The following is a 13,232-nucleotide window of genomic DNA, read 5'->3' as shown; positions in this document are numbered from 1 at the left end:
ACCTCCTTAAGTCCTAGGCAACCATTAAACTACTTTCTGTCTCTATATATTTGCTTATCCTGGACATTTCATATAAATGGAATCACATAAGACACACTCTTTTTTGACTGGTTTCCTTCATTTAGCATGTTTTCAAGGTTCATCCATGTTGCAGTACATATTAATACTTCATTCCTTTTTATTGCCAAATAATATTCTATTTTATGAACATTATCTACTCATCAGCTGATGAACATTTGGGTTGTTTCCATTTGTTTGAGGCCAAGATTCTTAATTCCTCTGTTTATTTCACAGAGCAAGTCAGGAGGTCTTGCCCAGAGATATGTATTAAATAAGTATTTGTTTAATAAAGTGTACTGGTAATGCCACTTACTGTTCCCAGACTCCCATGGATCTTTTTAAGTAACACTCATCAGTTTTATTGTATAAGCAGCATGTCTCATCATACAGAAATAATTAGATCAGGAGATTGCATCTGACATAAGGGTAGTTAATCCACAGTGTAGTAGATGATTGGTAACCTGGTAGAAAAAGATGAGCTGGGCCAGAGCCTCTTTCTTGGGAACTGAACTTTAAATATTCAATACTAGTTATCAATAAGGACAGAAAAGGAAAAGTTAATGTCTTAGACTTTTTGGAGACTGTTTAAAGCTATAGATCCTCTCCTAAGAAAAATTACACATGTATGAACATATATTTTTAGAGTGTGGGGTATTCTGGAAGCATTCACGGATCCCAGGTTAAGAACCTCTGACCTTTAGAAAGGCCAAAAAGGATTACTATGGTACAAATATTGAATTTAAAGGAATAAGAAAATATCAGTAAGTAAAAAAAGTAGGCAATAATGAGAAAACAGAGCAAACACACACACTAAAAGCAGGTAATTAGAGAGAAAGAACAGGTGACTTGGGAGAGAAAGATGAGAGTATAGTTTGGTCCGTAGAGGTGCCTGTGGCTGAAATTCAAGTGCCACTGTATCATTACAATAAATCATCTTTTTCCTGAGGTAATCTGAGTTAATCTCTGCTTATGAAAACCAAGCACATCAACCAAACAAAATATGTGGCATAAAGATTTATAAAGTAGATCTTAAGTTCTACTTAATCTTTTTTTCTTTCTTGATGAGAAAGAAGGCAGATCAATGATTTTTGGCGTGGATAATCATGTAATTTATCATTCAAACCAGGACACTTCTGATACAGAAAGTGGGAGCTATGAAAAAACGACAGGGGCAGGCACAACATATATAAACGGTATGGCCGATCTATGTAGTGACGGTAGGAAGGACAGAAATAGAGGGAGAAAGGCAGTAAGAATCTGCCCATGCTGAGTGACGATCCTGCATTTATGTAACAAAGCCTGTCCCTCCACAAGTAAGACTGAAAATAAAACAGACCCAGAAAAGGTAGTATGTATATAAGTATAAGTGAGTTTTGGTTGTTGTAAGTTAGTAATTTAAAGTATTACTATATTGGTGTTTTCCCCCCGCCCAGGCTGGAGTGCTGGGACTACAGGCGCCCGCCACCACACTCGGCTAATTTTTTGTATTTTTAGTAGAGACGGGGTTTCACCATGTTAGCCAGGATGGTCTTGATCTCCTGACCTTGTGATCTGCCCGCCTCGGCCTCCCAAAGTGCTGGGATTACAGGCGTGAGCCACCATGCCTGGCCTACTATATTGTTAAAAGAAGAGGCACGGAGAAGAATCAGGAAGGGAGAAGATGAAAGTCTGAGAGTTCTGAGGAAAAATAATCCTATTTATTTTTAATTGTTGACAGATACTGTGTGAAAAGACTCAATGATGCATCAAACAACAAATGCCCTGAGACCAAAGTTGTTTATAACAACTTGTCTGGACAAGGAAGAGAGCTGGGAGCAGCTCTAGTCTTCCTCATTGAGGGCTGTGCTGAAAGCTGCTAAGGGGTGGCTGAGGAGCAGTTTATGCCCAGGCCCAGCTGAGGCTCATCCAGTCTAGTCACCTCAGGTGAGTTTGGGAGTTAGATTGGAACAAACTAGTGGAGCAAAAGCTTTAAGCTCTGAGTCCCACTCTCCTTATCTGTACCTTCTGGGTAAAAATAATTACCTCAAAGAGTGAAGTGAAGATTCAGTGAAACAACATATATAGTAGGCACATGCTTCCCTTACCATTTTTTAAAAAACTTTTTATTTTGAGATAATTTTGGATTCACATTTATTATAAGGAGTAATATACAGAGAGACTATAAATCCTTCAACGAATTATCCTCAGTGTACTAAGCATATGTGTAGTACAAGAAATGGACATGATAAGGCCTACCCTATTCAGATTTTGTCAGTTTAACATGACTCAGTTGTGTGTTTATTCAGTGACACGCAGTTTTGTCACATGTTCAAATTGGTCAACAGTTCCATGAGAAGGATCCCTCATGCCACTCTTAAAATCACAGCCACTTCTCTCCCTCCTGGCAAACAGTATTCTTTTTTCCATCACTATAATTTCATCATCTCAAGAACGTTATATAAAAGCAATCAGAAAGCATATAACCTTTGAGATTGGCTTTTTCTACCTTAAAATCCAAAGTTGGTGCACATATCAAAAGTTTGTTCCTTTTTTGTATACTGATAAAATATACACAAGATTTACCATTTTAACTATTTTAAGTGTACAATTCAATGGCATTAAGTATGTTTGCAACATTGTTTAAACTTTGTCACTATTTCCAGAACTTTTTCATCATCCTAAACAGAACTCTGTAACTCATTAAACACTAACTCCCCATCTCCCCTCTCAGTAGTTTAACAGAGGTTAACCACCTATTAATCTATAATCTCCCTTCTGTCACTATGAATTTGTCTATACTAAGTACTTAAGTAGAATCATACAATATTTGCCCTATCAAAAGTTTGTTCCTAGACAAGAATGTCCACTCTCACCACTTCTATTCAACATAGTGGTGAAAGTCATAGCCAGAGCAATTAGGCAAGAGAAAGAAATAAAAGGCATCGAAATAGGAAAAGGGGAAGTCAAATTACATGAGTAATTTAACCTAGAAAACCCAAGATATGCCTCCCAAACCCTAAATATACCTCTAGACCTGATAAATGACTTCAATAAAGTTTCCGGATACAAAATCAATGTACAAAAGTCAGTAGCATTTCTACACACCAATAGCATTCAAGTTGAGACTCAAATCAAGGACTCTATCCCATTTATAGTAGCCACAAAAAAAAAAAAAACCATAGGAATACATTTCACCAAGAAGGTGAAAGATCCCTACAAGGAGAACTACAAAACATTGATGGAAGAAATCATACATGACACAAACAAATGGAGAAACATTCCATGCTCATGTACTGGAAGAATCAGTATCATTAAAATGACCATACTGCCCAAAGCAATTACAGATTCAACAGAATTCCTATCAAATTACCAACATCAGTTGTCAAAGAATTAGAAAAAAGCATTCTAAAATTCATATGGAACCAAAAAGAGAGACTGAATTGCCAAAGGAATCCCACGCAAAAAGAACAAATCCATAGGCATCACATTACCTGACTTCAAACTATACTACAAGGCTATAATACCCCAAACAGCATGGTGCTGGTGCAAAAACAGACACATAGACCAATGGAAGCAAATAAAGAACCCAGAAACAAGGCCACACACCTACACTCAACTGATCTTTAACAAAGTTGACAATAATAAACAATAAGAAAAGGACACCCTATTCAACAAATAGTGCTGGGGAAAATGGCTAGCCATATGCAGAAGAATGAAACTGGGTCCCTACCCTTCACCATATACAAACATTAATTCCAGATGAATTAAAGACTAAAATTAAATATAAGACCTCAAACTAAAAAAATCCTAGACAAAAACCTAGGAAAAATTCTAAACATTGGCCTTGGCAAAGAATTGATGACTTAGACCTCAAAGCCAAATGCAACAAAAACAAAAATTGACAAATGGGACTGAAAAAGCTTCTGCACAACATTCAGTGGAGGAAACAGACAATATGCAGAATGGGAGAAAATATGTGCAAACTATGCATCTGACAAAGGATTAATATCCAGAATCTATAACGAACTTAAATAAATTGACCAGAAAAAAACCAAATAACCCCATTAAAAAATGGGCAAAGGACGTGAACAGACATTTCTCAAAAGATGACAGACAACTGGCCAACAAACATATGAAAAAATGTTCAACATCACTGATATGGTTTGGCTGTGTCCTCACCGAAATCTCAACTTGAATTTTATCTCCCAGAATTCCCACATGCTGTGGGAAGGACCCGGGGGTGGTGGGGTAACTGAATCATGGGGGTCAGTCTTTCCTATGCTACTCTTATGATAGTAAATAAGTCTCATGAGATCTGATGGGTTTATCAGGGGTTTCCACTTTTGCTTCCTCCTCATTTTTCTCTTGCCACTACCATGTAAGAAGTGCCCTTCACCACCCACCACGATTCTGAGGCCTCCCCAGCCATGTGGAACTGTAAGTCCAATTAAACCTGTTTTTCTTCCCAGTCTCAGGTATGTCTTTATCAGCAGCATGAAAATGGACTAATACACTAATCATCAGAGAAATGCATATTAAAAGCACAATGAGATACCATCTCACACTAGTCAAAATGGCTATTAAAAGGTCATAAAATGATATATGTCAGTCATGTGTAAAAAAAGGGAATGCTTATACATTGTTGGTGGGAATGTAAATTAGTTCAACCCCCATGGAAAACAGTATGGAGATATCTCAAAGAACTAAAAATAGAACTACTATGCCATCCTATTACTGGCTATCTATCCAAAGGAAGAGAAATTATTGTATGAAAAAGACATCTGAACTTGTATGTTTATCTTAGCACGAATCACAATAACAAAGTCGTAGAATCAACCTAAGTGCCCAACAATGGATGAATGGATAAAGAAAATGTGGTACATATACACCACGGAATACCATACAGCTTTAAAAAAAGAATGAAATAATGTCCTTGGCAGCAACATGGATGCAGCTGGAGGCCATTATCCTAAGTGAATTAATGCAGAAACAGAAAATTAAATACTTCATGTTCTCACTTATAAGTGGGAACTAAACAGAGGGTACGTGTGGACATAAAGGTGGAAACAATAGACACTGGCAACTCCAAAAGCAGGGAGGAAAGTGGGGGAAGGGTTAAAAAGCTACCTGTTGGGTACCATGTTGACTATTTGGTTGATGGGTTCAACAGATGCCCAAACCCCAGCATTACACAATATACCCATGTAACAGACGTGTATGTATCCCCTGAATCTATTATTTTAAAATTTTCTTCCTTTCTACTGCTGAGTAATATCCTGTGATGTGATTTACCAGTTTAATCATTTGCCTACTGAAGGACATCTGAGTTGTTTCCAGATTTTGCCTATTCTAAGAAAAGCTGCTACTGAACATTGTGTACACTGGTTTTTGTATGAACATAAATTTTCATTTCTCCAGGATAAATGCCCACCCAAAAGTGTAAACATGCATCATACGGTGGGTGCATGTTAGTTTCTAAGAAATCGCCATACTTTTTTCCACAGTGGCAGTGCCATTTCACATTCCACCAGCAATATGAGAGTGATTTGGTTTCTCTGCACTGTCCAATTTGGTGTTATCATTATTGTAGGTATTTAGTGATATCTTATTTTGTTGTATCAATGACTTAAAAAAATTTTTCGGTACAATGGCTAAAAGTATCAATGACTTAAAAATTTTTTTAGTTGACAAATAATTGTATATATTTATGGGGTACAATGTGGTATTGCGATTTATATTTATATTGTTGAGTGGCCAAGCTAATTAACATATATATCACATACTTAAATTTTTGTGGTGAGAACATTTAAAACATACTCTTTTAGCAATTTTGAAATATACATTATTATTAACTACAGTCTCATGGTGTACAACAGAGCCCTAAAACTTATTCCTCCTGTCTAAATGAAACTTTGTACCCTTTGAGCAACATCTACCCATTCCTCATCCCCCCACGCTCCATCGACCTCAGAAAGCACCAGTCTACTTTGCTTCTATGAGATCAAAATTTTAAAATTCCATATATAAGTGGGATGTACAAAGTCAGTAGCAGTATTTGTCTTTCTGCACCTGGCTTACTTCACTTAGCTGGTTATTCCATGTCACAAATGACAGAATTTCTGTCTTCTATAAGGCTGAGTAATATTCCACTGAATACACACATTTTCTTTATCCATTCATCTGCTCATGGACACTTAGGTTGCTTCCGTACCTTAGCTATTGTGAATAATGCTGCAATAAACAAGACTGCAGATTGTGCAGATATCTCTTCATCATGCTGATTTCAATTCCTTTGGATATATAACCCAGTAGTGGGATTGCTGAATACTGTGGCAGTTCTATTTTTTTTTTTTTTTGAGGTGGGGTCTTGCTTTGCCGCCCAGGCTGGAGCGCAATGGCGCGATCTCGGCTCACTGCAACCTCCACCTCCTGGGTTCAAGCGATTCTCCTGCCTCAGCCTCTCTAGTAGCTAGGATTACAGGAACACACCACCACGCTCAGCTAATTTTTGTATTTTTAGTAGAGATGGAGTTTCACCATGTTGGCCAGCTGGTCTCGAACTCCTGACCTCAGGTGATCCGCCCGCCTTGGCCTATCAAAGTGCTGGGATTATAGGCGTGAACCACAGCACCTGGCCCTATTTTTAGTTTTTTAAGGTACTTCTATATTATTTTCTAAAGCGTCTATAGTAATTTACATTTCCACCAACAGTATACAAGGGTTTTCTTTTCTCTCTAGTCTTGCTCACGCATATCTTTCATATTTTTGATAATAGTCATTCTAACAGGTATGAGGTGATATTTCAAAGCGGTTTTAATTTGCATTTCCCTGGCTAGTAATGTTCAGCATTTTTTCATGTACCTGTTGTCTATCTGTATGTCTTCGTTTGAGAAGTGTCTCTTTAGGTTTTTGGTACATTTTCTAATCAGGTCATTTGTTTTTATATTATGAAAGTATTTGAATTCTCTATACAGTTTTTATATTAGCCCCTTTGTCAGATTTTTTTTGGCAAATATTTTGTTTGCAAACATATTCTCCCAAGTCACGGGTTGTCTCATCACTCTGTTGTTTCCTTTCCTGTTCAGAAGCATTTTAGTTTAATACTATCCCATCTGTCTATAAGTTTTGCTTTTATTACTTGTGCTCTTAGGGTCATATCCAAAAAATCATGGCTCAGACCAATGTCATGGAGTTTTTCCCCAATGTTTTATGTTTCAGGTCTCATATTTAAATCTTTAATATGTTTTAATTTTTTTGTATATGGTGTGAGATAAGAGTCCAATTTCATTCTTCTGCATATGGACATCCCTTTTGTCAATACCACTTATTGAAGAGACTGTCCTTTCCCCATTGTGTGTTCTTGGCTTCTTTGTCAAGAATCAACTGACCATAGATATGTGAGTTTACTTCTGGGCTTTCTGTCCTGTCATACTGGTTGGTTGTTTTTATGCCATTTTCACGCTGTTTTGATTACTATAGCTTTGTAGCAGATTTTAAAACCAGGTGGTATGATAGCTCCAGCTCTGTTCTTTTTGTGGGTATTTTGTGATCCCACATAAATTGAAGGATTCTTTTTTTATTTCTGTGAAAAAATGCCATTGGAATTTTGATAGAAACAGCACTGCATCTGTAGATTATTTTGGATAGTAGGGGCATTTTAATAGTATTAATTTTTCCAAACTATGAACACACGATGAGCTTCCAGTTACTTGTGCGTTCCTCTACTAGTTTTATGTTTCAGGTCTTATATTTCAGTTTCAGTTTCTTTAATCAGTGTTTTAAACTTTTCAGTATATGGATCTTTCACCTCCTTGGTTAAATTTACTAAGCATTTTGTGTTTTTTTTTTTTTAAAGCTATTGTAAATGTTATTCTTATTTCTTGTTAAAAGAATTCATTGTTAGTATGTAAAATGTGACTAATTTTTGCATGTTAATTTTGTATCCTGTGACTTTACTGAATTCATTTACCAGTACTAACAGTTTTCTGGTGGTCTTTGGGGTTTTCTATATATAAGATCATGCTACCTGACAACAGAGACAATATTACTTCTTTCTGTCCATGTGCATGCCTTTTATTTCTTTTGCTTGTCTAATTGCTCTGGCTAGGACTTCTAGTACTTTGTTGAATAGAAGTGGTGAGTGTGTCTGGTTTGTGATCTTAGAGAAAAAGCTTTCAACTTTTCACTGTTGTATATAATGTTAGCTGTGGGCTTATCATATGTGATCTTTTTTTGTGTTGAGATACATTCCTTCTATGCCTAACTTGCTGAGTTTTTAATATGAAAGAATGAACTTTGTAAAATGCTTTTTCTGACATCTACTCAGATGCTGCTATGGTTTTTGTTAATACAGTTTATCACATGTATTGATTTGTGTATATTGAACTATCCTTATTTCTCAGGAATAAATCCCACTTGATCATAATAAATAATCCTTTTAATGTGCAGGTGAATTCAGTTTGCTAGTATTTTCTTGAGGATTTCTGCATGTTTGTTCACTAGGGACGCTGACCTGTAATTTTCTTTTCTTCTAGTGTCCTTCTCTGGTGCTTTGGTATCAGAGTAATGCTGACCTCATAAAATGAGTCTGAAGGTGTTGCCTTCTCTTCCATTTTTTTGAAGACTGTGAGGAGGACTGGTATTAGTTCTTAAATATTTGCCATAAAGCCATCTGATCCTGGGTTTTTCTTTGGAAGTTTCTGATTATGGACTTAATTTCCTTACTCATTGTTGGTCTGTTCAGATTTTCTAGTTCTTCATGATTCAGTGTTGATAAGTTGTATGTTTCTATGAATTTATCCATTTCTTCCAGGCTACATAATTACTTGGCATATAAATTTTCATAACTTATATGGCATAAAAATCCTTCAATACTCTTATGATCTTTTGCATTTCTAGGTTTCAGCTACAATGTCTCCTCTTTCACTTCTGATTTATATGAGACTTATTTTTAGTCCTAGCCAAGGGTTTTTCTATTTTGTTTATCTGTTCAAAGAACCCACTCTTAGTTTTTAAAAATCTTTTATCTCTAGTCTCTATTTCATTTATTTCTATTGTGATTTTTTTTTCCTTCCTTCAACTGAGTTTGGGCTTAGTTTATCCTTCTTTTTCTAGTTCTATAAGGTTTAACATTAGGTTATTTGAGGTCTTTCTTCTGTTGCTATAAACTTCCTCTTAGAACTGCTTTTGCTATACCCTATAAGTTTTGCTATGTTGTGCTTCCATTTAAATTTCTCTCAAGATATTTAAAATTTTTCCTTTTGGTTTCTTCTTTGATCCACTGGTTGTTCAGAAGCATGTTGTTTAATTTCCACATATTTGTGATTTTCCCTAAATTTCTCCTGTTCTTGATTTATAGTTTTACTCCACTATGGTCAGAAAAGATAACTTGACATGATTTCAACCTCCTTAAATTTGTTAAGACTTGCATATATGCTTGTGAAAATGTGTATTCTGCAGGTTTTGGATAGAATGTTCTAAATATATCTGTTAGATCTATTTGATCTAAAGTGCAGTTCAAGCTCAATGTTTTCTTATTTTCTGTCTGGATGATCTGCCCATTGTTGAAAGTGCAGTATGCATTGCAGTCTGTCTCTCCCTTCAAATCTATTAATATTTGTTTTATAGATTTAGGTGCTCCGATGTAGAGTGCATTTATATTTACAATTGTTATATCCTCTTGATGAACTGACCCCTTTATCATTATGTAATGACATTCTTTGTTTTCAGTTTTTGACTTAAAGTCTATTTTGTATGATGTAAGTATAGCCACCTCTGCTCTTTTTAAATTTCCATTTGCCTGCAATATCTTTTTTTTTTTTATTATACTTTAAGTTCTAGGGTACATGTGCACAATGTGCAGGTTTGTTACATATGTATACATGTGCCATGTTGGTGTCCTGCACCCATTAACTCATCATTTACATTAGATATATCTCCTAATGCTATCCTCCCCCCTCCCCCTACCCCACAACAGGCCCCGGTGTGTGATGTTCCCCTTCCTGTGTCCATGTGTTCTCATTGTTCAATTCCCACCTATGAGTGAGAACATGCGGTGTTTGGTTTTTTGTCCTTGCAATAGTTTGCTGAGAATGATGGTTTCCAGCTTCATCCATGTCCCTACAAAGGACATGAACTCATCATTTTTTATGGCTGCATAGTATTCCATGGTGTATATGTGCCACGTTTTCTTAATCCAGTCTATCACTGATGGACATTTGGGTTGGTTCCAAGTCTTTGCTATTGTGAATAGTGCCGCAATAAACATACGTATGCATGTGTCTTTATAGCAGCATGATTTATAATCCTTTGGGTATATACTCAGTAATGGGATGGCTGGGTCAAATGTTATTTCTAGTTCTAGATCCTTGAGGAATCGCCACACTGTCTTCCACAATGGTTGAACTAGTTTACAGTCCCACCAACAGTGTCAAAGTGTTCCTATTTCTCCACATCCTCTCCAGCACCTGTTGTTTCCTGACTTTTTAATGATTGCCATTCTAACTGGTGTGAGATGGTATCTCATTGTGGTTTTGATTTGCATTTCTCTGATGGCCAGTGATGATGAGCATTTTTTCATGTGTCTGTTGGCTGCATAAATGTCTTCTTTTGAGAAGTGTCTGTTCATATCTTTTGCCCACTTTTTGATGGGGTTGTTTTTTTCTTGTAAATTTGTTTGAGTTCTTTGTAGATTCTGGATATTAGCCCTTTGTCAGATGAGTAGATTGCAAAACTTTTCTCCCATTCTGTAGGTTGCCTGTTCACTCTGACGGTAGTTTCTTTTGCTGTGCAGAAGCTCTTTAGTTTAATTAGATCCCATTTGTCAATTTTGGCTTGTGTTGCCATTGCTTTTGGTGTTTTAGACATGAAGTCCTTGCCCATGCCTATGTCCAGAATGGTATTGCCTAGGTTTTCTTCTAGGGTTTTTATGGTTTTAGGTCTAACATTTAAGTCTTTAATCCATCTTGAATTAATTTTTGTATAAGGTGTAAGGAAGGGATCCAGTTTCAGCTTTCTACATATGGCTAGCCAGTTGCCCAGCACCATTTATTAAATAGGGAATCCTTTCCCCATTTCTTGTTTTTGTCAGGTTTGTTAAAGATCAGATGGTTGTAGATGCCTGGTATTATTTCTGAGGGCTGTGTTCTGTTCCACTGGTCTATATCTCTGTTTTGATACCAGTACCATGCTGTTTTGGTTACTGTAGCCTTGTAGTATAGTTTGAAGTCAGGTAGCGTGATGTCTCCAGCTTTGTTCTTCTGGCTTAGGATTGACTTGGCAAGGTGGGCTCTTTTTTGGTTCCATATGAACTTTAAAGTAGTTTTTTCCAATTCTGTGAAGAAAGTCATTGGTAGCTTGATGGGGTATATGTGTATACTTAAGGCTAAAGTAAGCCTCTTATAGGCAACTGACTGTTGAGTCTTTTTAATCCCTTTACCACTATGTTTTTTAATTAAAAATCATTCATTTACAATTTAAGTTATTGATAAATATGGACTTACTATTGCCATTTTGTTAACTGTTTACTTTTTTGTAGTTCATTTCTTCTTTTCCTCCAATCTTGGTGTCTTCCTTCATAATTTGTTGTATTTCTGTAAAGGTAGGCTTTAATTCCTTTCTCTTTTTTTTTGTATTTACTAGAGGTTTTTAACTTTATGGTTATCATGGGGCTCACATAAAACACTTTATAATTACAATATTCTAATTTAAGGTGATTATCAACTTAAGTTCAACTGCACATAAAAACTCTACACGTTTACTTCTCCATTTTATGCTACTGATATCACATTTTACATTTATGTATACTGCATATCTGTTAAATATTATAGTTGTTTTTAATAATGTCTTCTGACGTTAAGGATTAAAAGTGATAAACACATCACCTTTACAGTATTAGAGTATTTCAAATTTGACAATACAAATGGTTCAAATTACAATTTTTGACTTTACCATGAGTTTATAAGGAAATAATCCCATCATGAGTCAAGGAGTATTTGGACTTCCAATGGTTCAACTTATGATTTTTGACTATATAATCAATTTATCAGGGCATTAAATGCATTTTTGACTTAATATTTTCCACTTATGAGTTTATCATGATGTAACCCTACTGTAAGTTGACGAGCACCTGTATACCTTTACCACTTAAGTTTATACTTTCATATGTTTTCATGTTATTTATTGTCTTTTCAACTTAAAGAATTCCCATTAGCATTTCTTGCAAGCTCAGTCTGGTGGTGATGAACTCCTTTAGCTTTTGCCTTGAAATGTGTCTTTAACTCTCTTTCATTTCTGACAGACAATTTAGCCAGGTGTAATATTCTTGGCTGACATTTTTTTTTTCTTTTAGCACTCTGAAAATGTCATGCCAATACTCCTGGCTTGCAAGGTTTCCTTTAAGAAGTTCACTTATAACCTCACGTGATTAATTCTTTCTGCTACTTTTAAAATTCTTTGTTTTTGACTTTTGGCAAGTTGGTTAAAATGTATCTCCTAGTATTCTTTGTTAATTTATTTTTAGACATGGGGTCTTGCTATATTGCTCAGGCTTGTCTCAAACTCCTGGCTTCAAGCAATCATCCCACCTCAAGTATTCAGGATAACCAGAGTTATCCCAGCCTCCTCAGGATCTGGGATAACAGGAGTGAGTCACTGTACCTGGCTTTTTTTTTTTTTTTTTTGAGATGGAGTCTCACTCTGTCACCCAGGCTGGAATGCAGTGGTGCAATCTCAGCTCACTGCAATCTCCACCTCCTGGGTTCAAGCGATTCTCCTGCCTCACCATACCCAGCTAATTTTTGTATTTTTAGTAGAGATAAAGTTTCACCACGTTGGCCAGGATGGTCTCGATCTGCTGACCTCGTGATCCGCCTGGCTCGGCTTCCAAAAGTGCTGGGATTACAGGCCTGAGCCACTACACACCAGTGCCCATCCACACCTGGATCTTTTTAAAATTAATCTTGCTTGGAGTCCTCTGAGCTTCCTGAATCTGGACGTCCATACATTTCCAAAGATTTGGGAAATTTTCAGACAATATTTTTAAAAATAAGCTTTCTTCCCCTTTTTCTTCATTGTGTACTGCCATAATTCACACATTTGTACATTTGATGGTGTCTCATAGGTTCCTTATGCTTTCTTCAGTCTTTATATTTTTTTCTCTAATTGGCTAATTTTAAATGACCTATCTTTGAGTT

General features: G+C 36.2%; 1 protein-coding gene across 3 annotated transcripts in view; it reads right to left on the bottom strand.

Moving 5' to 3' along the window:
* Positions 1 to 13,232, bottom strand: part of SLC25A31 (solute carrier family 25 member 31) — a 43,893-nt gene that overhangs the window by 11,865 nt on the left and 18,796 nt on the right. The gene's annotated exons all lie outside the window — the stretch shown is intronic.

The sequence above is a fragment of the Homo sapiens genome, chromosome 4 (genome assembly GCF_000001405.40).
Source record: "Homo sapiens chromosome 4, GRCh38.p14 Primary Assembly".
Lineage (NCBI taxonomy): Eukaryota > Metazoa > Chordata > Mammalia > Primates > Hominidae > Homo > Homo sapiens.
This window is presented reverse-complemented; position numbering and strand designations above follow the sequence as displayed.